This window comes from Homo sapiens, chromosome 11, assembly GCF_000001405.40.
Source record: "Homo sapiens chromosome 11, GRCh38.p14 Primary Assembly".
Lineage (NCBI taxonomy): Eukaryota > Metazoa > Chordata > Mammalia > Primates > Hominidae > Homo > Homo sapiens.
Genome location: NC_000011.10, coordinates 30198746 through 30225522, shown reverse-complemented (window position 1 = coordinate 30225522; position 26777 = coordinate 30198746). Strand labels below are relative to the sequence as shown.

Genomic DNA, 26777 nt, shown 5'->3' with positions numbered 1-26777 from the left:
CCTCTAGAAATAAAACTCTCTTGGGCTTTTTTCTTCTTTCTATATAAAAGCAACTCTTGGGCTTTAATACAGTGATATATCACTCAATATTTAACAAATGACCGAACATTATTTAGGGAAGTCCTATGTCAAATTCACCTATATTGGCTTAAAGCACCTCCCACCACCTCAAAGTCACATGTATTCTTTTTGCTTCTTCTTTGAAGGTAATAAGGTTCTAGTCCCTCTGCCTGATACATGTTTCTCCTCTTCTTTTCACCTAAGCTACTCCTACAAGTACTTCAAAACTCCATTTAAAGGTAGCTTCTAGGAGACATTCACTTACCCTGCCTTACACAGCCTCCAATGCCCAACTCTCAGTTCAGCACTTTCTGTCTTACGCTTCCTTAGTTCCCAGTTCCTACCTCAGTGGTAACACTCATCACATTCTACTTTAAATGCACAGCTGACTTCTTTTGTGAATTCTGGTAAACCAATGTCTTCAATTGCTGGAAGATCTCTTGAATTTCTGTGCATATACTCAACAGCCTATGTTGTTCTTTCATTTATGAAGATTTTCCCCCAAAATTATTCCTTTATGTTTGGTTTATATATATATATATATATATATTTTATATATGTTTATATATTATATATAATATATATATTTATATATTATATATTTATATATGTTTATGTATCTATTATATGTGTGTATATATACATATTTTTTGAGACAGAATCTTACTCTGTCACCCAGGCTGGAGTGAAGTGGCACAGTCTCAGCTCACTGCAACCTCTGCCTCCCAGGTTCAAGTGATTCTTGTGCCTCAGCCACCAGAGTAGCTGGGACTAAAGGCACACCACCACCATGACTGGTTAATTTTAGTATTTTTAGTAGAGACAGGATTTCGCCATGTTGGCCAGGCTGGTCTCAAAATCCTAGACTCAAGCAATCCACCCACCTTGGCTTCCTAAAGTGTTGGGATTACAGGTGTGAGCCACCATGCCTGGCCTCAAAATAGGAAATTAAGCACCCGTGTTCATGCCTTGATAAATTACCTGCTCCTTCTATGTTCTCGGATCCTTTCCTCCTTTCCTTTGCCCATGTGATATATGTTTTACAATGTAAGGTTTTAAATGTTTAATATATTTTATTTTCTAATTATTTTATTCTTTTTTGTCATTTAAAATATTATTTAGAAATATCTACTTTATTTAAATTATAAAGTAATAAATAACATATATGATATACATTTCCATAGAAAGTGCCAACATTTTATTAAGTTTTTACCCTATCTAATAACACAACAATGGTAATATAACATTTCACTGTCCAGTGTAGTAGCCACCAACCACAGGTGGCTCATTAGCACTTGAAATTCAGTTAGTCCAAATTAAGATATACACTATAAGTGTAAAATACACACTGGGTTTCAAAGACAAAATAAAGCATATAATATATCCCATTAATACTTTTTATCTTGATTATATTTGAAATGAAAATATTTTGGATATATTAGGCTAAAAAATTGTTATTAAGATCTCACCTATTCCTTTTTATTTTGGCCTTTAAAATGTGGCTACCAGAAGATTTTAAATCACGTAAGTCTTTCACATTATGTTTCTATTGGACAGCACTGATGTAGAACTTGCCAGCTAATAAGTAAATTTGCAGTGGTCACAAGATGTGCTTACTGGTCTAATGTCTGGCACATGTGCATTACACATTGCCAGATTAGGTGGACTAATATAACCATAAAAAATAATAAAATAAGAAGCCCACTGGTTGCCAATGTTTATTAATATGAAGACACAATAATGTACTGTATATTTTTCAGTGAGATTCAATCTTCGTATTAGCAGGAAAACTTCTTATTCTCATCCATCGAGGCAGTCAGATGGAACTATTTCATCAGATGAGACGCTAGAAAAACAATACAAAATCAGCTGTCCATTTCTACTGTATTTTCTTTCCTTAGAGCAATATGGAGCAAATGGCATAGAGTGCTCCTGATAGGAGCTCTTTTAAATGCAGGTAATGGCACTCAGAATATTCCATGATGATGTTCCAGTAAGAAGTCAGTACATTTGGTATCAGTCAACTGATAATGCATGAAGCTAAAAATATTTCCTAGGCTTGATAGCATTTGGAACCTGCATAAAGTAAGCATTCAATAAATACTTACGAATTTGATTTTGTTTTGATGCTGGTTGGCAAGTTTCTAGCATAAAGCACTGAGAATGATGTGTATATCCAAGTGATTAACAATATATTGATGCTTCATGTGGGCTATGCTGAAAGGACAGTAATCCACCGATGGGCCAGCAGTTACCCCCAGTACAAAATGCAAATGCCAGTTGATTTCATATATTTGTGTTTTAGGAAAGAGCAGAATATATAATGCACACACATACAGACACACACACATATAAAGTACTGAAGTGACAGTTTATGGTGTGTTCACATCTTAAGTTTGTGCATATCCTTTGAGGAAAGTGTTGTCCTCATGCTACACAGTATAAACATTGATTGAGCACTTACTCTGTAGCAATCACTGTGCTAAATGTTTATATGCATTGTACCACTGAATGCTGTCACCAGCCGTATGATGTACATATTATAATTATTTGTACATTACAAATAAAGAAATGAGGGTCAGGGAAGTGCATTAAGGTGGCCAATGTAATAGTAAGTAGAAAAGCATTAATTCCAGACTATGCAAGGAGACTCCAGCATCCCTCATATTACTTCAGTCTCATAAACTTTGCTAGACAGACTGACTTAGTGGATGAGAAGCATCCAAGGACTGAAGGGCATCATTACTATTCAACATCAACATGGTGTGTTTTTTGAATTTTTGGATAAATTCTATTTGATTCCTTCACCAGGAAAAGCAGGACCAACTGGGGAGACTGGAGAAACAGAACGTTAGGAAGAAAATGGAAGAAAAAGATAAGCAAACTGTACAGTGAATCATTAATCCAAGTAGGTGCATTAGAAAGTTAGATACTAAAGAATGAGTTATCTTTTAAGATATAAGTGCCAGGCTTAATGCTAAGCACTTTATATGTGTCATTTAAATGTATTTAATCCTCACAACCCTAAAAAAGTTCTATAATCATCTCTATTTTAGAGATAAGGAAACTGTGACACAGACAGTTCAAATATCTTTACCAAGGCCACATGGCTGGTAAACAGGATAGCTGAAATTCAAACTCCAGGTGTCTAGTTCTAGTGCTTGCACTTTTACCACTATGCCATTCTACCACCCACTCTTTTCAGAATAAAATCGAGCCCATTTTAGAATAAATATATGTGCCTCTCCATGCCCTCGACAGTGAATTTTTACTCCTCTGTGTGCATATGTGCACACACATCTGTGTGTAGAGGAAATTGTGCTAAAAGACCAAGATCTGTTTTTCCACCTACCAAAGAAAGTTCCTCATAATAAAACCTGTCATTGTCAGAATGCATGAGGAAAAAAATGGAGCGGGAAGTATTTCTTAGATAATTTAACTATCACTAGAGCATAGACAAGTCACCCTAAATATTCCATATACTAGCCTGCGTTATCTAGCTTCCTTGTATTTAGATTGGGGTCATGTGACTAGTTCCAGCCAATGTACTATGCACAGAAGTGAATTGTATTATACATAGACTGAGGTGGAAAAGTCTCTTCTGTGAGTACTGTAGGGACTTTATTTTCCAGGTGCTACAGCTAAAAGTTGGCAGAGATTCTGGCAGCATGTATCCTTGAGTGACTGTGTGAAGCATAATCTCCTCTGACTCATGTTAGATATTTAGTATGGAAAAGAAATTAACCTTTATTGTGTTAAGTCATTGAGAATTTCAGGTTCTTTTGTTAGTGCACTATAATCCAGTATATTCCGACTAATAGATATCTTACCTGGAGGGCATCTCAGCAGTGTGCTTGACTTTGTATGATGCCAGACCACAGGGACGGAAGGTATATACAGTGTATATATGTATAGCCAGGATCTTCTGTAACATAATTTTCAGAATTGTCCTCTTTGCTTTTCCAAGTCTCAATCCATATCATGACTCTGTCCACTCTGTGCCTCTTCTGATCCTCCAGCAGAGCAGGAATAAAACTATAGCATCTACATAACTCTATTGCCTGGATTTGTTCCCTCCCTTAAAGCAGTTTAGAATTACTAGGTGCTTTCTATCTTTCCATTGCTTTTAAACAAACAGTAACAGAAGCAACAATGACAGCAAAATTTAATACTCCAGAAAATTATAAAAAGAAAAACAACTACCAGCTGATTTTATAGCTACTCTGCTTGTCCTAAATGGCCAACGGTAGCCTCCTTTGCAAACAAGATTGCTAGAATCTGAAATTTTGCCCAAGGAAAATAATTTATGTTATAAAAATCTAATCCTGTATACAATAATAACAATCAAATATAGGAAGCAGGTTGAGACAACAGGTTGATGCTACGAGTCTTCATAAATATTGGTGATTTCTATGAAATTATTTTCTCTCTTTGATAGACCAATGCCCCTCACCGAATCATCTAATATTAGACCAATTCCTTTGTTTCTGGTCCCTTGCTCTCTTGACATTTATCTGCCACATTCATTAAGGAACCCCAAAAGAGAATGGAGATAATTTTGAATGAAAGAATGGATTTTAAAGGAGAGAGAAATAATTTACTCCTTTAATTCTACTTTGTTTCTAGAATTATTTATATCACATTTCAAAAATTGCTTTCACATTTTAATCTCAGTTTACTCCCAGAATTTCCTCAGAGCAATCTTTTAAGGTGGGAGGGTAAACATTACCTGAAGATTGCTTGAGAACAGGCGTTCAAGATTAGCTTGGGCAACATAGCAAAACCCTGTCTCTATAAATATAAAAATAATCAAACAAACAAAATAATGTAGTCAAAGTCATCATCTCAGAGCAGAGAGTTAAAACCCTGAGTGACTTGCCTATGGTTATATTGAATGGCAGACTTTTTATAAAAACATGTAATTTAAAGCATTCTATTTTGGGTGGCTCTGGAGTCTATTTTTGGCACAGAAAAAGGTAGCAACGTTAGGAGCACAATGTGGCAGAGACTGCCAATTGTCCCTTGATAGTCAATCTCCCTCTATTCTGCCATAGGAATAGAATTTTTAGGCAGGCATATGGCTGCCCAGAAAAAGAGTCAATGTTCCACCTTCCACTTTCCTTGCAGCCAGGAATGGCCTTGCGTTGAGGAACAAGATGTAAGTAGAATGCTGTGTGGCAGCTTTCAGGAACTGTAGGAGATAGGTGGCAAGCAACTTTTGTTCCTTCTTTTTCATACTTTCTCCATACTGCTCCTCGTAATGTGGATATGTCGTCTTGAGCTAAGATACTGAGTGGGTGGGGTAGTGACCTAAAAGGCACCTGAGTTGCCAAGGACTTTTCAAAACTACCAGTCCAGCCTTAAACTGCGTAACTTTAGAATTTCACATAAGACAGGAAACAATCTGTATTCTATTTAGGTCACAATATTTTGGGTCTCCGTTACTTTTAGTTGAATGAATCTAACTCAAAAATGAAGCTGGAAACCATCATTCTCAGCAACCTAACACAGGAACAGAAAGCCAAATACCCCATGTTCTCACTCATTAGTGGGAGTCGAACAATGGACATAGGGAGGGGAACAACACACACTGGGGCCTGTTGGGGGGTTGGGGGCTAGAGGAGGGATAGCACTAGAAGAAATACCTAATGCAGATGATGGGTTGATGGGTGCAGCAAACCACCATGGCACGTGTATACCTGTATAACAAACCTTGAGGTTCTGCACATGTATCCCAGAACTTAAACTATAATAATAATTTTAAAATGGGTATTTTGGCTGGGCATGGCAGCTTATACTTGTGATCCGAGCACTTTAGGAGGCTGAGGCTGGAAGATCGCTTGAGAACAGGAGTTCAAGATTAGCTTGGGCAACATAGCAAAACCCTGTCTCTATAAAAATAAAAATAATCAAACAAAATAATGTAGTCAAAGTCATCATCTCAGGGCAGAGATCCGATTCTTAGGTCAAATATGTACGATAATTATCCTTGATAGAGTCTGTGGAGGGCAGAGAATGCCTATGGTCCCTTGAGATTAGCCTGAGAGTGAATCCTGGCCCTGTGATCTTAGAAATATCAAAACTGATGAAATTGCCATTTCTAGACTGCAGCTTTTTGTCTTCTAAAACCTGGATATTTTCATGCATCTTTGGTGCAGAATTTTCTAGATGAACATACATGTGACATGAGGGATGTTCTGTCTCCATTTCCTTCCTTCTTCTTCCTTCCAGTGTTGGTAGAAAAACAGTCTTCTAGCATAGTATGTTGATGTGTGCTGCTGGAGGTAAGAAGGGAATATTTGGATTGTAGATGCCCAGCTATGAAGAATGCCTGCAGCTATGGAGGAACTAGGAAGAAATGTATCTATGACTTTGATCTGAGAGAAGGGAAACAGCAAGCCAGGAGCAGAAGGGTAGAAAAGGGAAGCTGGGGGAGATGAGAGGATTCCCAAGTGCTGACTCAGTATAGGTCTAAAGTGATCAGGAAAAATGAAGAATTTAAATGACTTTTTATGTGTGTTGTTGAGAGATTAACAAGAAGCTTGCTTCCATTACTGTATTGTATTCATCTGCCCTTATGTCTGCTCAGTGCTGTGGGTCTAGGAAAGGGGTTACATAGAGTAGAGCCTTTCTTATAAAATGGACATTTTTGTGGCAGTGTGACTGGGGGGACCACTTAGAAGGAAAATAGCCTGTTGGTAAAATGAGAACTTAAAGCAATATATTTTTTAATGACTAGACTTAGACTGTCCTGATGAGGAAGAACTGTTCCTTATAGTTGGAGAAAGATGTGTGTGCTCTTGCTTGGGGTCTTGCTCAAGGCAGATGAAAGAACTGTTTTCTTTGGGGCTCAGTGACAAAGTAGGGCACAGCGTTAGAGGGAGAGGAGCATTCTTCTATTTCATCAGGGAAGCCAGCATCCCTCTCCCATTCATGTAGTTCAACACCAGCATTGTTGGCAAGAACTTTGGCATTCATGCAGCTGGCATCATGTGCAGTGAGGACTGCTCTCAAGTAGTTCCCGGGTCCTAGGGAATGAGAGCTAGAGCAAGGGTAGGAAACATGGCAGACATTCGGGGGAGAATGAAACTGACAACTGATTGATGGGCATATGAGTCACCCTTTTGTAGACCTCCTAAAGAGTTGAGGACACTTTGGGGAAGGGAACATTAGGATTCTCACCGCGATGGTGGGAAAAGGAGGGGCTAAGGGCCATCAAAATCTGGGCATAGGGTGTGTCATAGGGTAATAGAGGACTCATCAAAATAGCAGACTTAAGGTTTTTTAGACAAAAGGAGGCTGTACAAAGGCCTAGAGAAAAGTGAGAACACAGCACCTTCTCAGAGCTCAGAGTGCAAGAAATTCTAAAAGGGCATGTGGTTGACAATTGTGCAGCAGAGACCATAACTTTACGTAGCAACTAGTAAGAATGCCAGCTAACCAGCTTAATGTCTTAGCTCTAGCTCCTTTTAGGGATCAATTCTGGGGAGATTCAAAGAGGGTTTTCATTTTTAAAAGCAAAAAGAACCAGGCTCCAGTCAATACAGAATCTTATTCAGATTTTAAAATATGAGATGAATGAAATACTACAAAGTCATATAAAAGAACAAAATTATGTCCTTTGCAGCAACATGGATGCAGCTGGAGACCATTATCGTAAGCAAATTAACACAGGAACAGAAAACCTAATTCCTCCTGTTCTCACTTATAAGTGGGAGCTAAGCATTGAGTATACATGAACATAAAGACCCTGAGGATTACTAGAGAAAGGAGAATGGGATGAGGGCCAAAGGCTGAACGACTTCCTGTTGGGTCCTATGCTTACTACCTGGGTGATGGGATCAATCGTATCCCAAACCGCAGCATCACACAATGTGCCCATGTAACGAACCTACACATGTACCCCTGAACTTAAAAGTTGAAGTTTCTTAAAAAATGAAGGCAAGGATGGGCGCAGTGGCTCACGCCTGTAATCCCAGCACTTTGGGAGGCTGAGGCGGGCAGATCAGGAGGTCAGGAGATCGAGACCATCCTGGCCAAGATAGTGAAACTCCATCACTACTAAAAATACAAAAATTAGCTGGGCGTGGTGGCTCATGCCTCTAGTCCCAGTTACTCGGGAGGCTGAGGCAGCAGAATCACTTGAACCTGGGAGGCAGAGGTTGCAGTGAGCCGGGATGGTGCCACTGCACTCCAGCCTGGCAACAGAGTGAGACTCTGTCTCAAAAAAAAAAAAAGAAAAAGAAAAAAGAAAAGAAGGCAAAATAAAGGTGTTTTCAAACAAACAGAAAAAATGAAATGAAATTTTTATAACATAAACAAATAAATAAATAAAGTAAATACATCTCCCTTTTGGCACCATGGTATTTTTATTCAGTATCAGTCATTTTTCCATTCTCAGATCAGCAAATCTCTAATATAATAACAAAAAAGCTAAGTACTTCTATCTCTGAGCAATTTCTTTTGATATGACATTTCTACAGACACTACTATTTTTAAAGGGACAATCCTGAAAGAATAATTTTTTTTTTTAAAGAGTGCTTTTGTGTGAGTTGGTACATTTAAGGATTAAAAAAATATAGGTCATAGGGCTTTTGAAGTAGGTGGAAAGAGCATATATTATAGTCTCGTGTACTATTCTGGAAGATGACAAGCAGCTTAATTTTAGTAAACTAAGTTGACCCTAGAATGATAAGAGACATAAAAAGGCCATTGTGATTTGTAACTTGAGCAGATAGGTTGTGAGGTAATTAAGAGTGTTTGCCGCAGCAGCAACTGCCTGGTTTTCATTCTTGCCACCCCTGCTCCTGCCTCAGATGTACAAAACAACACCAACTTTTGCACAAGTAGATCTCTGAAAATTCTTACTGATTACTGAGAATCTTTTCAGTTCTATATATGGAGAGACTTACCCTTGATAACAAATGGCTCTTTCTAGAAACATAATAGTAATAGTAATCATTGTATCAAAGAGATAGATATCTGTACCCTTACGTTCATAGCAGCATCGTGCGTAATAGTCAAGATACAAAAACCACCTAAGTGTCTATCATAGATAGGATAAATGGGTAAAAAAAAGTGTGGTCTGTGTATACGTGTTTGTGTATATCCTTATATATATGTATATATGTACACACATATATACACAGACCACATTTTCAAAATATAATATTATTGATGCAGGAGTTAAAAAGAACTTATTTAGGCAGATAGTGAGAGTAAGAAAGTCCTCAGTAAGGTTTTCCTTTTAATGAAAAGCATCCCCAAAATAATTTCTTTCTAACAAAAAGCAACCTGTAAAATCAAGCCATAGACATAGATAAGGAAGCTGGAAGCTTGCAGTGGTGAATGCCAGCAGCTGTGCCTATAGGAAAAGGCTACCTGGGGGCTAGGCATGTCCAACATGGAGGCTCCATCTTCCCTTTTCCTTGTCAACCACGTGCACAGTAAGGAGCAGACAACATGGCGCTGGCCAAGTGGAGACTCCATTTGCATAATAAAAGATTAGAGTGTGGTGGCCAGCTTCCTCTTGCACTATGTAACCATCACACTTAGTCCAACCAATCTTTGGGCCCTATGTAAATCAGACATCACCACCTCACTCGTGTCTATAAAACCCTGTGCACTCTGCTGTGGGCCAGAAATCCCATTCAGGCGCCCTTCTCTCTCCAGGAGAGAGAGCTGTTCTCCTTTCTCTTTCTTTTGCCTATTAAACCTCCACTCCTCAACTCACTTCTTGTGTGTCTGCATACTTGATTGCCTTGGCATGAGACGACAAACCTTAGGTATTTACCCCAGACAATGATGCCACTTCATTATATTAACATAATATTTCTCTCCCTCCCTCTCACTCTCTCTCCCTGGCCATATACATATATATGTATCTGTATATATGTGTGTGTGTGTGTGTGTGTATGTATATATATATGTGTGTGTATATATATATGTGTGTGTGTATATATATATATATATATATTTAGCATTATGTCCTCCAGGTTCATCCATGTTGTCACAAATGGCAGGATTTCCTTCCTTCTTTTTTAATGCTGCATAATATTTCTCTCTCTCTAGGTGGAAAGCATTTAACAGCAACGTTGTAAACCAGTGTTTCTCAAAACGTAGTCCCTGGGCCAGCAGGATCAGCATCACCTGGGAACTTGATAAAAATGCAAATTGCTGTGCCTCACCCTGGATCTACTAAATCAGAAACTCTGGGGTGGAGCCCAGCAATCTGGTTTTAGAAGTCCTTCAGGTGATACTGATACATACTCAATTGAGAACCAGTGTTGTGGGCAAAGCTCTCTTGGTTTTAAAAAATAGGAATCTACTTAATCTAGTTCAAACAAATATATCTTACTGAAAACCAGAATAATTATGAGTAGCTAAAACAGGCAGTCTCTGAAATATTGGTGCCTTTACTTAGAAGTTTATTTTTTGCTTATGCTGTGGTCCCTTGTTGGTTGGAAGACCTCCATGTTGTAGATTTGATGTCTGGAACTCTTGGACTCTAAGGTTACTGCACAAGAGGAAAAGATAGCTGTAGGGTTAGATTTTCCACAGTGTTTTAAACTGCCAGGTCTGGCACATGAAAAAATGTTTAATATCACTAATCATTAGAGAAATGCAAATCAAAACCACAATGGGATACCATCTCACATCGGTCAGAATGGCTATTACTAAAAAGTAAAAAACTAACAGATGCTGGCGAGGTTGCAGAGAAAAGGGAACACTTATACATTGCTAGTGGGAATGTAAATTAGTTCAGCCATTCGGGAAAGCAGTTTGGTGATTTCTCAAATCAAACAGAACTACTATTTGACCCAATAATCCCATTACTGGGTATATACCCAAAGGAATATAAGTCATTCTACCATAAAGACACCAGCACACTTAGGTGCATCACAGCACTATTCACAATAGCAAAGACATGGAATCAACCTAGATGCCCATCAACAGTAGACTGGATAAAGAAAATGTTATGTGTATATATGTTATATACATATATAAATATATATAAATGTTATGTGTGTGTGTGTGTGTGTGTGTGTGTGTGTGTGTGTATGGAATACTATGCAGCCATATAAAAGAATGAAATTATGTCCTTTGCAGCAACATGGATACAGCTGGAGGCCATTATCCTAGGTGAATTAACACAGGAACAAATAACCAAATACCACAGGTTCTCATGTATAACTGGGAGATAAACATTGAGTACACATGGGCACAAAGACGGGAACAATAGACACTGGGGCTTACTTGAGGGTGGAGGGTGGGAGGGGGGTGAGGATTGAAAAACTACCTATCAGGTAGTATGCTCACTACCTGGGTGATGAAATCATTTGTTCACCAAACCCCAGTGACACGCAACTTACTCATGTAACAAACCTGCACATGTACCCCGCTGAACCTAAAATAAAAGTTGGAAGAAAAAAATACATAAACAAAATTATTGTTTTGCTGCCAGTAGAGTCTGTGGTCACCTGGGCTGGCACATGGGTAACAGCCAAGGGCCCTCACCTCCCTCCCAATTGATCCGGCCCCTCCAGAGGCTCCCCATTCTATTATGCATAGCCCTTTATTTCTATGTGGAATGAGGCTATAATTCTGCAAAACTGTTGCAATTTATTTTCTGCTAGACCAGTTAGCAAGAGTTCTCTAAATGTATTATTATCATAGGAAAATAGCAACAACAAAATAAAGTGCCAGGTCTGGAAGTGGCCTGTATCAGTGCTTCTCAGACTTTACTGTGAATTAGAATCACCTGAGACCTTGTTAAAATGAGGATTCTGACTCAGGAGGTCTCAGGTGGAACCCGGGATTCTGCATGTCTAACAATTGTCAAGGAGATGATGATGCCACTGTCCCTTAGAAGCAAGGGCTTATCTCTCTTCTGCACATATCTCATTAGGCCAAAGCCTTCTATTGGTCTCAGCCTAACTGCAAAGGGGTCAAGAAACATAGTCTTCATATGTGATCAGTAAGAGGCATTGTTTCTGCCACACGAGACTACAATAGCCACCTGTGTCCTAACTCCCAGAACTTGCCTTATTACCTTACAGAGGACAAAAAAGACTTTTAAGATGTGATTAAAAATCTTGAGATGGGGATATTATCCTGGATTATCTGGGTAGGTCCAATGTAATCACTAGGAGATTTTCCTGGAGTATTTGGGTGGGTTCAATGTAAAGGAGCAATGTGGAGATTATAATAGGGACATAATAGAGAAGATCATGTGACAACAAAAATAGAGGGAGGCAAGCTATGATATTGGAAGCAGAGGCTGGAGTGATGCCACAGCATCCATCACTGGAGTGTAGAAGGGGGCCACAAATCAGTGCATGGCAGTGGCCTCTACAAGCTGGAAAAGACAAGGAATGGATTCTCCCCTAATGCTTCAGAAGGAGTGCAGCTCTGCCAAGACATTGAATTTAGCACAGTGAGACCTATTTTTAACTTCTGAGCTCCAGAACTGTAGGATAATAAATGTATGATGCTTTAGTCACCAAGGTTGTGATAATTTGTTACAGCAGCAATGGAAAACTAATACAGTCACTCCCCTCACTCCTTTTTTTTCATACCTGTTCCTACTCTTCTCTCTTAGTGGGCTTTCATTGCGTTTTATCCTGTACATGACTCTGTGATATCGGCTCCAAGTCTATATGCTGATATTTTAGCCCACTTTCTTCCAATTGCTGGAATTTCCATCTCTTATACAGATTTTCAGGTGAAAAGAAATGTTTAGATAAGTTTATGAATGTGCCTCCTCTAGGGTCAGTTAATCTTGTCCTATTAAATATGATCAAGGATTAAGTTCACCTGGTTAATGTCCAGTTAGCAGGAGCTGATAATGGGACTAGTAATTATAAATGTATTGAATATACAAGAAAAGAAAAGAAAAAAGATTGTCTCATATTTATTAGTTACTATGCTAGATTCTTTGTGAGGATCAATGCTGAAGTAATGTATCCAAGGTCTCAAGATAATGTGTGGTAGAATCAAGACGTAAACCCTTATCTCACATCATTGTTTACACTCTCTCTGCATCTGGTTTTCAGAGAACACAGGAGCAGGTTAAACACTCAGAAAACAACCAGCTCTTTTTAAAGGTATAGACAAAGAAAAAAATACTTTGAGTATGTTTAACCTTCTAAATTGCCAAATTGATATGCTATTCACTTTTTAGGCTTTCTCTTACATGACTTTCACATATCATTTCACTATTGACTACTTTCCTTCTCTTTGAAAAATAATTTTTCTTGCACTTTTATTTTATTTTATTTATTTATTTTTATTTTTTTGAGATGGAGTTTCACTCTGTCACCAGGGCTGGAGTGCAGTGGCATCATCTTGGCTCACTGGAACCTCCGCCTCCCCAGTTCAAGCAATTCTCCTGCCTCAGCTTCCCAAGTAGCTGAGATTACAGGCACCCGCCATCACACTAGCTAATTTTTGTATTTCTGTAGAGATGAGGATTCACCATGTTGGCCGGGCTGGTCTCGAACTCCTGACCTCAAGCGATCTGCCTGCCTCGGCCTCCCAAAGTGCTGGGATTACAGGAGTGAGCCACTGTGTCAGGCCCCTGCACTTTTTAAATTTAACATTTTATCATGAACTGTTATCCATGTTATTGAATATTTTTATAAAACTTATTTTCTATTGTTGGATGAACTTTGGCTGATCTAACCACTTTCTTATGATTAAACAAGTTATTTTCATTTGTTTTTCATGATTACAAGGAATATTGTAAACATCCTTACTACCTTATTCTTCATCTGCATTTCTGATTTTTTCTTTAGGTCACATTACTAGAGGTAGGATTGCAGGAAGATATATATATATATATACACATATATATATATAATATATATATACACACACACATTTATGCCCATATTATTATCCATATCCATATCTACATCTACTATGGGGATATATATATTATATATATAAATACACATACATATATATACACATATATACATATATACTTTTTTTCTCTCCATCTTGTGCTTACAGGAAAATATATATTCTTTTAAGATAGTCACTGTAAATTTTCAGCAGCATATAGGAGGGTGCTTGTCATCTTAATTTCATCAATTTGAGTGCATGTATACATGCGTGTATATTTGCCAGTTTGTGAGATAAAAAATTATAGTTGGCATTTTTTCATAACAACTAGTGAACATTTTCTCATTTGTTTATTTGCATTTCTTTGGAGAATTGTTGGTTCGTCTCATTTGGTCACTTTTACATGTGCAAAAGAATTACATTTATTTTAATAAAGAATTTTAATATAGCCAAATATAAGTCATTTTCTTCATAATTTTCTTTTAATGAGTCAATGGAAATGAGTTAAAATTCAATTCGACTAGATTACCATGTGCTAGGTTAAGACGAGCAATACTTGGTACCTGCTTTTGGGAAAGTTATAATCCATCAAGATAGAGAAATACATGGATAACAGATAATAATGCAATATGATATGGGCTACAGGATGTTCTGCCTGCTATAAAATCACAGAGAAAGGAGCAACCAATCCCTAGGGTCAGGAGAAGGGTCACAGCAGCCTTCTCCAAAGATGTTCACAGATATTTTCTAATAGGTACCTGGGTATATATGTTCAGGGGAGAGGTGGAGTGTGATCTTCAAGGACATCTTAGAACAAGAAGACTGCCAGGAAACAAAGCTGAAAGGCCTTTAAAACCCAGTTTCTTGGTATCAAACATGTAGCTGAGGTCATCCCTGGGTTTCTTCAGAAGGTGCTTGAGAACTAATGTCTGTAGTTTTCATTTCCTCTAGCACTTGACTATGCAAAGAGCTCTATCAAGTAAATTACAGAAGACAGACCCCACCTGTTCAGCCTGAGGTGCTCAGGTGCCTTCGAATCAGCTGCAGAGGATGAGTCACTGAGCATTCCCTGGTACTTTGTTGCCTGGAAATGGGAAAGACGACCATGACTGTAGCATTTTGAAGGAATCCAATTAGCAGTTTAGTTGGAACTATCCCAAAGCTCACCTCCAGGCCATTTGCATTCTTGACCTTTGAAGTAAGTTGCAGTCTAAATTTCCAAGGTGAGGTGATGGGTGGGAAGCCCAATCTGAAGGCCCTGGCACCTCTGTTTTGACTGTGCTAGGTTGTTATCAAAGGCTTTAGAGAACAGAAATCAAGGGGAGGTGTCCTAACGGGCTCGAGAGGCAGTGAGATGTTGATGATGGTTTAGATAGATGAGGGTGGTGAGTAAGGGGGAAAAGGGCAAGGTATACCCGTGATTCAAACTCATTAACAGGACATTAGGACCAACATATAATATATGACGAGTGTTGGTCTTAAACTTAACAAACCTGTTTCATGAACTTCAAGGATGGGGAACAGTTTTGCCTTGTTATTTCTTGAACAGTCAGCAAGCATTTACTGAACTGATAAACCAGATCCATTCTAGGCACTGCTTATGACCATGAGAGTTAGACTTCACAAAGAAATATTCTTTAAAATGTAAACTGGCATTTGGAATCAGAAATTCAGGTAGCAACATCAGAGGCTGTCTTATTTCCTTTGTATACTTGGAGTTCTGAGGTTTAAGACTTTAAAACTGCAATTAAGACTTCTAGTTTTTCCTAGGAGATTTACCCCAGTGCAGGTGGCTGCCACCAGGTGAGAGATAGAACTAGATATTGCCATCAGCTGCTCAGCCTTCCTGCTCTCTGGCAGGTGCAGCTGAACACGCAGCCGCCACAACCTGGAGGCTCACTGTGCCTATCCATAAATGAAATGCGATGGACAGCAAAAATGAGCCCTATTACTAAATCACAGATTCCTACTGCTGAGAGCACAGTTGCAAAACAAGAAAATACCCAAGTGTTTAAATTATCTATTACCTATTTGAGATGATAATTCTGACTTTGTTCCCTGATAGCATTTTACTTTTATCCAAAGCCATTTTTCTGCAGAAACTTTCCCCACATTTGCACTGCCTATATTTTGTTAGTTTCCCTTCACTTGTATACCATTAATTTAGATAAAAGTCCTTATTAGACGAATTCACCTAGGTATACTTTTTTTTTTTTTTTTTTTTTTGAGATGGAGTCTCACTCTGTCACCCAGGCTGGAGTGCCGTGGTGCGATCTCGGCTCACTGCAACATCCGCTTCCCGGGTTCAAGTGATTCTCTTCCCTCAGCCTCCTGAGTAGCTGGAACTATAGGTGTGTGCCACCATGCCCAGCTAATTTTTTGTATTTTTAGTAGAGACGGGTTTTCACCTTGTTAGCCAGGATGGTCTCTATCTCCTGAGCCAGTATACTGTTTTTGAAGATTCTGTAAATCCATTTTGGAATAAAGTGGGGTGCAAATAATTAGTGGTGCTCTGTCTATGTCAAGCTCTGGCTCTTCCAGGTGTGGACTGACACCGAATGCATCTGAGAATTTCTGGCCCTTAGAAGAGGTACCAGGAAGAGCACACATAGCCAAGGCTGAGGGTGGAGCTTGGGTGATACTCTAGGATTCTGTAACTCCTCCCTCAGAAGAGCATGGTATATGCAGTACAGTGTTTAGGAAGCAGGAAGGGTCCTAGCGTCCGGGCCCTTCTGCCATCCTTGGGGTCTTAGAGAAACTACTGGAGAAGGAATAGAGAACAGGGCTTGTCAGAGGTGGGGGAGCTTTTGAGACAATCTGTTCTAGTAGAACCAATTCCTGCAAGTAGGCTTCTCCTTCTTGCTCAAGGCCTGTGGTTGACGTCTCAGTCAATCATGATGTCTCCACTTGCCTTTGTCCATTGAATCTCAACACTTCCTGAGAACCCTTCCAGGCCAACACACCAGACAATAACCCCTGTAGCCAAGATGGAGGGAGACGCATGCTCAGGTCTCCCTTTGGGAAAGGACTTGCTGCCTACCTGCCAAGAGTAGAGTTACTAGCAGCCTTCAGCTATTAGGTCCTTCAGGATCTGTCTCGGCTTTTGAGTTGAGGTTCTTCCATGGGCATCTCCTTTCCAATGCTTGAGCAGGGCTGTGGTGCAAGGACCCAGCCATTTCTCTCCAATGTGGGACACCTCTAAAGGACAATCTGTCCTCCAGAGCTCCCAGATAGGCAAGTAAAGATCACTCTCCCTGCCCATTCCTTCCTTTTCTTCATTTTCCTTTACAGGTATCACTCTCTAATAAATATTTTGCATCCCTATTTATCATGTCTGTACCCCTAAAACCCCAACTAGTTATAAGTACTAATCAGCTTAGCAAGAAAGACACACCAACATTTATGGAACATTTATGTGCTAGAAATTATTCTAAGTAATCAACATGTATTCTCTTTTTAAATCCTGGAACAATGATATGTGCTAAGTACTATTATTATTTATATTTTAATGATGAGGAGACAGGCACAGAAGACTTTAGTGACTTGTTCAAGGTCAAACAACTAGGTGGAATCAAGATTTGAGTGTCAACAATCTGACTCCAGGGCTCCTAATTGCTTTGCTGAGCTATCTTATTTGCCATTCCTAGGCTAGCTTAACCACTTTACTCATCTCTTGCTACTACTATTTAAGCAAGGAGATTTGCTCTTGGGGTAAACAGTTAGTATATATCTGGGAGAAGATGGGTCCTTTCATTCTTTTTCCGGTATTTCCAGCTCATGGTATGTTGCCTAGCACATAGCAGGAGCCCAATAAAGTTTTGATGATGGATGAAGACAGAAGAATTGAAAATCCTATCATCCTGACTGAGATAAAAGAACATGGTAGGAAAAATGATAGTTTACTGTGAATGATAGTTTACTATGATGGTGACTGCATATGGGGTAGGCGTGACAGGAAAAGAGACAATTTATAGACTGTAAAAACTCTTTGTGACTTATGATTTTAGATTCACTCTAATTTCAGCATAGCATCAGCCCTCATTATTCTGGCTGGTGTGCCAATGTAGGAGAAATTATAAAGCAGTTAATTCTAATTTGTCTGAAGCTTAAGATACAGTTGTATGAATCTATACTTTTCTTTAACCAAAACAGAACAGTATCCTTTAAAACTTAACTGAGATGTTGAAGGTTAACAGGTATCTCTGAGAAGAAAGTTGTCTTTGTGTTTTAAAACATGGTTGGTAGTCATTCAATTACCTTCTTCTCATCCTTATTCTGCAATCCATACTGGGTTGGTAACTCTGTAGGTACTGGTTTTATAATTAATATTATGTATTTAGTAGGCAATAAATTTTTATTGTATTTTAATAAATTAACCTTGCTAACTAATGTGGAAAACTATAATACCATAAGTGTAGGGAATAATAGAGTCGATACCTTAAAGATTATTAAAGGCAAAATGTTTTTATCTCAAAAAAGTAAATAAGTAAAATTCAAAAATGCCTAGAGATCAACCCTAGGTGGCCGCTTAGGGATGGAATTTCTGGGGTTCTGCTAATGAAATTAATTCATGATGTTTTCTCAGTTTGCATACTTATAAATCTATATGGTGTCACAGATGTGTCTTTGAAAGTGCAATCCCTTTTGAGACCTGTAATGACCGAGCAGGTATGAGTTTCGGCTGCTCTTCTGTGGCTTCCTTTTTTTAGTCTTCTCACGGCTGTCTTAACACATTTGCTGTTCTGTCTTCTGGGGCTATAAACACCCAGAGAGTAGAATCTATATATTATCGTTTCTCCAGCTGTTTCCTAATCGGCTTAAAATGATGCACTTCTGTAAACTTTTGTTGAGCAGTTGAAAAAGGACAGCCTGAGGTATCTGAGGGGATTCAGGTTTTGGGACTGAAATTCACTTTTGTGTTTCACTAGCTGTGTGACCACAGGCCACTCACTTCTCTGAGTCTCTGAAGCATTTTAGATTGATGAGAAATAATATTCTTTTGTTATAAGGTTATGTGAAGATAGATTCATAGGATATATGTATTATCTGGCTCATAATAGAGGCTTAATATTCATCCCTTGTGTCTGTGGTGGAAATATTGTCTTAAGGCTTTACTTTCATTGTGTTCTTAATAGTCAAAAAAGTGGTTTTCCCCTTTAAAGAACACACAGGAGATCCACTTCCTCTTTGGCTGCCTTGTTTTTCTTTCACTGATTTGTCAATTTCCATCACTGATAGTGAAGCTTTTTGTGCTAAGGCTCTTCTCTTTATAGTACAGATAATAGGAAATGCTGCAACCAAATCCAAAGGGACCAGAACCAAAAAGGAGACTTTCTAATTTGAGATTTGACACCCATTTCAGCTGAGAATAAGGTTTGGTAAATATTTAAAATGGATTACATTTCTTGAAAGGACTTCTGCTGAATTTTATAAAGGAAAGATCAAAGCCTTCAGGTTTAAGTTTGATTCTACATATTTTCTACTTATGGTGAAATCCTCTGAGCCTTTTTCTCCTATAGAAAAGTTTTAATAAATCCTTGCTGAACCATTTCCACTAGAGAATTTGTCTCTATTACATTGAGGAGACTGGATATTTTAATTCTCACAGTTGATTGAATTCCAGTTCCGGAGCATCTAAATACTCTATCTTCTAGAATATCATCAATTAGTTAATTATATTTCATGATCCTAGTTTATATAAAATTCATACAAGGAAGACATTTGACTAATTTATCCTTAATACCCTTATAACATTGTTCTAAGAGTACAAATATAGCCTAGAATGTAGTAATGATGATAATAATAACAGCAACATTGGCCAGGTGCAGTGGCTCATGCCTGTAATCCCAGCACTTTGGGAGGCTGAGAGGTGGGAGGATTGCTTGAGCCCACGAGTTTGAGACCAGCCTAGACAATATAGTCAAGCCTCTTCTTTACAAAAAATATAAAAATTAGCCAGGCATGGCTGCATGCACCTGTGGTCCCAGCTACTTGTGAGACTGAGGTGGGAGGATCACTTGAGCCCAGGAGTTTGAGGCTACAGCGAGCTGTGATCATGCCACTGCACTCCAGCTTGGGTGACAGAGGAGACCCTGTCTCTGAAAAATAAATAAACTTTCTTTGTATCTAAGGTTTTTGTAAGAAAATGGTGACAATAACTGTAGCCAAACTATCTCAAAGCATTGTCACCTGTGTCAATGGACACAGAAAGGTTTTGAACAATATCATACAGAACATATTACAGTAGTGAATGCCTTAACACCCTTTCTTCACGATAGAATTCCAATTTGATTTTGATAAAGGCCTTGAAGGAAGCAGTACCCTATGTTATTTCTACACATAATCACCCTAAAACATTGTAGAAAAAAATTTGTACACAAGCCAACAACCTGATACACACATCATCCTCAATATTCAGAGATTAACATGTTAAGAAGAATGTTAACACTTTCAAAAGATTAAAATATTAATAATGTAATTATTGCCTGTGAATGTATTTGGGAAACATAGCATCAAAATCAAACAAATCATTCTTAAATCTTCAAAACCCAGTGTGTGGCAGGTCTAATCCTCCTGCTAAATGGTTAGATTGAACACAAATAGGGAGTGAGAATGGTTACATTTCTATTGACCCTGAAATAAATATCAAAGAGCAGAGTGCTATTAAATTCTAGACATAATAATCCACTGTACAAAACTACCTGAATCCTGAGTAACTGTTTCTCCTTGTAATAAGCAACCACCATTAAAGGGGATACGACACGTCTGACAGATGTGAAAGCCACTAAGTCATCAAAGAAAACTTATCCCTTCCCCCAAACAGGTGAGTCAATAGCATCGACATTTTCAAATGTCAGCTGCTGGATTATTATTTAATTCTGTTTGGAGCAAAACAGCATTAGTTCATTGATTCAAAAAGCCATTTTTTGAGCACCTGCTAGGTACCAGGAACCATGGCAGGCTTCAAGAGGTGCCAACGATAAATAGCAGACAAGATTTTCCCTAAAGAGTCCACAGCCCAGTGCAGCAGATAGACATATGCAGAAATCAACTTGGTATAGAAAAATTGCTAAGGGTTTTGGTGTCCTTGAAGGGTGTGCAGGATGAATGGGAAGGGCATTCCTGTGTGAGGGGGTAACATGCACAAAAGGAAGAGACCACAGAGCTTTGGGTCAGAGCTAGGGAACAATGCTGTGTCACTAATGCTGAAGGATGCTGAAGGGTACTAAAGGTACATAAAGTTTAAAAGGGAATTAGAATCATACTCTGGAGGGCCTTGGATGATAGGCTGAGCTTACATTTTGTTTTATTGCCAGTGGAAGCCATGGTGGGAGGTTTGAGCTGAGGTTGGAAGTTTCATCCAAGAGGGGCCTTAGATGGGTTGTTTGTAGGGTACATTTTCAGGACCTGCAGTTTGACACTGTTGACCACCCTTCTTGAAACTTGCATGTCCTTATTCTCTTCTAGTCTTCCTCCTGCTGCTTGGCCCACAGCTTGTCTATCTCTTTCTCAGGCTTTTTCCTTCTGCTTCCTTCTGTCATTGACTTTTCTCATGCTATGAGCTCTCCTAGGGTGAGCTCATTCATATTTATAGATGAAAGACTCTAACGCATTTACCTCCCAGCAAGTGTACTAAACTGAACTGCAGAGTCATGTTTCTGATAACCTTTAAAAATCTTCCTCCACCTGCCCAGCATGGGTAGACTTTGTTATGGGCTGAACTGTGTCCACCCTACCCCCCATATTTGTATGTTGAAGTCCTAATCTCTATTACCTCTGAATGTGACTATATTTGGAAATAGGTTCTTTAAAGAGGTAATTAAGTTAAACTAAGGTCGTTAGCTGGCCCTAATCAAATATGACTGGTGCTCTTAGAAGAAGAAGAGATTAGGACACAGACACACAAATAGGAAAGATCATGTAAAGACACAGGGAGAAGGTGGCCATCTACAAGCCAAGGAGAGAGGCCTCAGAAGATTCCTTTGTTCTTGCACTTCTAGCCTTTAGAATTGTGAGAAAAATAATTTCTGTGGTTTAAGCCACTCAATATGTGGTACTTTGTTACGGCAGCCCTAGCAAACCAATGTGGACATCTTACACTTAACATATTTAAAATTAAGCCGTGGCCAGGCACGGTGGCTCACACCTGTAATCCCAGTAGTTTGGGAGGCCAAGGTGGGAAGATCACTAGGTTGAGAGATTGAGCATCCTGACCAACATGGTGAAATCCCGTCTCTACTAAAAATACAAAAATTAGCTGGGCGTGGTGGTGCGTGCCTGTAGTCCCAGTTACTTGGGAGGCTGAGGCAGAGGAATCACTTGAACCCGGGAAGTGGAGGTAGCAGTGAGCTGAGATCATGTCACTGCACTCCAGCCTGGTGAAAGAGCAAGACTCCATCTCAAAAATAAATAAATAAATAAATAAATAAATAAATAAATAAATAAATATGAAGCCCTACCATCACCTCCCTCCCAGGCCGTGAAAATCAGGCACTCATAGGGATGAAGTCCAAAGTTCGAGTCTAAGGGCCAGTAAGTAGAACTCTCTCTAAGGCATTTGTCAAGACAGCCAGATGGAAGAGGGTATTATGATTTCCTGGACATTGTACTGATTTGGAAATCAGAAATAACGTCTGGTCAATTAAAAAAAAGTAAGAATATATAAATAATCATCTAGAGAAGATAATAAAGTCACCTGAAATCTCATCACATTCATATAAATATTTCCCAACCTTCTGCCATGTAAAGAATATGCATTTTTTTTTCTGGGAAACATGATAAGTTACTATCATACTATTCTTTAACCTTCTCATATGTCAGACTTGTAAGTCTGTACAAGAAATCTAAGATTTGTTTCCAAGCCAGCGTCATCTCTTGCTTGAATTACTACTATAGCCTATTATCATGTACCTGTTTTTTCTTGCTTTTCCTGAATTGCCCATTGAGCAGAGTGCTATTAAAAAATGATTATAACATATTAATGTAAAATATGTTCTTGTTCCCTTCCTTACAACCCCTTCCCTCAGCCCTCCATCCATTGGCAGCCCATTGCATTTCAAATAAAATCTACATGTCTTGCCATGACCACAAAGCCCTCACAACTGTCTTTCTAATCGCATCTCTCATCACCTTACTTGCTATGCCTTGGGCTAGTTATTGGTTCTTGCAGTATTAAAAGGTCTCCAGGCCTTTGCATTTTCTGATTGTTTTTTGTGGAGTACTATTCTTATTTTTTGAATGACTTGATTTATTGTTCACATCTCAGAACAAATGCTACCTCCTCAGTGATGTTTGTCTTTCGGTCCACCTCATAGAAAACATCTTCTGGGTCACTTTTATCACATTCCTTTGTTTTATTCCTTCAGACTATTTAACATTTACTGAAGTGAATTTGTTTTATTTCTGTCTGCCTTGCCTAGAATGTAATCTCCATGAGGGTAGTGACTTTGCAGGTATTTAGCTTCTAGAAGAGTGCCTAGCTCATAGCCAGCACCAACACACACATACTTAATGCATAAATACAACCTCCTTTTTATTGTGGAGTTTAGATTATCTTCTTATTTGTAATATTTCCCAATAAGGAGATACCTTAAGTATGTAGAAAAGAGTGTACTATAAAAAAACCCTTTATACCCATCAACTAGTTTTATATTTCTTAATATTGTGCCAGTTTTGTTTTTTATACAGGTGTTTTATTTTTCTGAAAGATGAAACATTACAGTTTTACTTGACAGTCTCTATGGAGTTCTTTTGATCCCATTCTTTTTCCTTCCCTCTTGGAAGTGATCATAATCCTGAAATAACTCTTTGATATCAGGTATATTAGTCAGGGTTCTCCAGAGAAACAGAACTGGTAGGATAGATCTAGATATCTAGATATAGATATATAAAAGAGGATTTATCATGAGAATGGGCTCCTAGGATTATAGAAGCTAAGAAGTCTCACAATATGCCATCTGTAAGCTGGAGAACCTGGAAGGTCAGTGGTATTCAACCTGAGTTCAAAGGGCTTGAGAACCAGGGGGCTTGTGGTGTAAGTTCTGGAATGTGAAGCGTAAGAACCAGGAGTTCTGATATCCGAAGGCAGAAGGTGGATGTCCCAGCTCAAGAGAAGAGAGTACATTTGCCCTTTCTTGACGTTTGTTTCATTCAAGCCCTCAAAGAATTGGATGATGCCTGACTATATCAGTGAGGGAGGATCTTTACTCGGTTTATGGACTCAAATGCTAATCTCTTCTGAAAAGACCTTGACAGACATGCCCGAAATAATGTTTTACCAGCTATCTGGGCATCCCTTAACCCAGTCAAGTGGAGACATAAAATTAGCCATCACACCACGGAAAAGGAATGATTAGTTTTTATAACTAAGAATATAAATTGCCTTCAATTTCTGTAGAGTTTGCAATTATGCAAAGCTTAACTATTTTTGGCAGAAGGGGAATCATACCCTGATTCAAGAGTTCCAGTGGTAAGTGGACAAAAAGCATACACCACTTTCCATGCTTTCCTTTGTCAGTCCTCAGAACTGGCCTCAATCAGTGGCCACAGTAATAGCAGCTTGGCTGCCCTCCTTCAGATGCTCTCTGAGAGAGATTTGTGAAGTTCTAAACTACTAGCATCCAGCTAGCACTGATTATCCACTTACTCTTGCAACCAGAAGAAAGCAGAAGAAGAAAGCAGGAGATTCTGGACTTAGACTTTTGCCCACTAGGTGGGTTTGGGCACATCACTTAACCTCTCTTGGCCTAGGAGATAGTCTCCTTATCTCATAAACGGTAATGGTAACTTTCATCCTTTATATCTATTTTAAGTACTAATTCTTATGCATGATTTATTCATGTACCCTAGCCTCTTCCCTTTACATGTAGTATGCCTCTGTTTGGATGCAACTGGTTTTAAGTGCCCTATTTAGATTTGTAGAGCTTGCAGAAATGAATAATTGTCCCAACACCCTTGTGACTTGTAGGTTGCTCAGAGTCAGGCAGATATTAGACCATGTCTTTGCCAAAGATTATTTACCTCCTTATCTCCCCGTGTCCTTGCTAGTTTGTTTCAGGGCAGCAATATACGCAGCTCCAAGCAATTATTTATGATTGGGCTGATCTAGTCTTGATAATGCTATTACTGTTTACTAGACTTTCTACCTTCCCTTGCAGCTAGGTATAGCTGTATAACCCAGTTTCCAGTAAGACATAAAGTCAGATTGGCAAAAGAGATGGAGAGTCTTCGGGGAATGGGGAACCTGAGTCGTTCGTAACATCATTGAGTAGCTGAACTACCATGCCACTAACTCCAAGCTTCTCGTTATTGAAAATCATAAGTCCATAGTTATTGAGGTCACTAGTTTTTTGTGTTTATTTGTTTTTTTGACACTTGCAGCTAAAAGCATTTCTACCTAAAATCAGTTTTCTACTGATGCTGTAACAAAATATCATAAACTTAGTGTCTTAAACAACTCAAACTTACTACCTTACAGTTCCAGAAGTGCAAAATGGTGTCAGTGGGCTAAATTCAATGTGTTGGCAGGGCGATGTTACTTTCTGGAGGTTCTAGAAGAATGTTTTCATGCTTTTTCCTGCTTTCAGAGGTCACCCACATTCCTTGACTTGTGGCCCCCTTCCTCCATCTTCAAAGCCAGCAACATCGATCTCTCTGTGCCTCTCTTCTGTGGCCACATCTTCCTTTGATTGCTTCTATTTGGCCTTGTTCATCTACTTTTAAGAATTACTGCATGATTTATAGTCCTTTGGGTATATACCCAGTAATGGGATGGCTGGGTCAAATGGTATTTCTAGTTCTAGATCCCTGAGGAATCGCCACACTAACTTCCACAATGGTTGAACTAGTTTACAGTCCCACCAACAGTGTAAAAGTGTTCCTATTTCTCCACATCCTCTCCAACACCTGTTGTTTCCTGACTTTTTAATGATTGCCATTCATGCTGCTATAAAGACACATGCACACGTATGTTTATTGAGGCATTATTCACAATAGCAAAGACTTGGAACCAACCCAAATGTCCAACAATGATAGACTGGATTAAGAAAATATGGCACATATACACCATGGAATACTATGCAGCCATAAAAAATGATGAGTTCATGTCCTTTGTAGGGACATGGATGAAGCTGGAAATCATCATACTTAGTAAACTATCACAAGAACAAAAAACCAAACACCGCATATTCTTACTCATAGGTGGGAATTGAACAATGAGATCACATGGACACAGGAAGGGGAATATCACACTCTGGGGACTGTTGTGGGGTGGGGGGAGGGGGGAGGGATAGCACTGGGAGATATACCTAATGCTAGATGACGAGTTAATGGGTGCAGCACACCAGCATGGCACATGTATACATATGTAACTAACCTGCACAATGTGCACATGTACCCTAAAACTTAAAGTATAATAATAATAATAAAAAAGAATTACTGCAATTACATTTGACCCACCTAGATAATTCAGGATAATCTCCTCTATTTCAAGGCCATCTGATTAACAATGTTAATTCCGATGGCAACCTTAACTCCCCTTTGCTGTGTAACCTAACATAATCACAGGTTCCAAAGATCAAGATGTGGACATCTTAGAGGTGGAGGAGAGGGCATTTTTCTACCTAGCACAGTGCCCAATGTTTTACTCTATTATAAAACAACAACAGTAGGAGCAACAGCAATGGAACTGCTTCCTTGTATAGTATTGCAGAGTTGTGGAAGGAGAGATGATCTGGTGTCCTGAGGCTTGAGTCTTGTTCTTGGCTCTGCCATTAAATTGGGCCATCTACTTTCTAGCCCTGGATTTCATTTTCTTCATCTCTTAAAGAAAAAAATTCTCTTGACCATTAATTTTCAAATTTTTAAAGTAG

At 38.8% G+C, this 26777-nt stretch overlaps 1 long non-coding RNA gene across 7 annotated transcripts in view, besides 1 other annotated feature; it reads left to right on the top strand.

Annotated features, from left to right (window-relative positions):
* Window positions 1–26777, top strand: part of ARL14EP-DT (ARL14EP divergent transcript) — a 279977-nt gene that overhangs the window by 97424 nt on the left and 155776 nt on the right. The window lies entirely within an intron of this gene.
* Window positions 18665–18744: an enhancer, noted in NCBI's record as "active region_4554". NCBI's record gives its function as "activates an Ori minimal core promoter by ATAC-STARR-seq in GM12878 lymphoblastoid cells {active_cell/tissue: GM12878}" and the evidence as "EXISTENCE:reporter gene assay evidence [ECO:0000049][PMID:35858748]".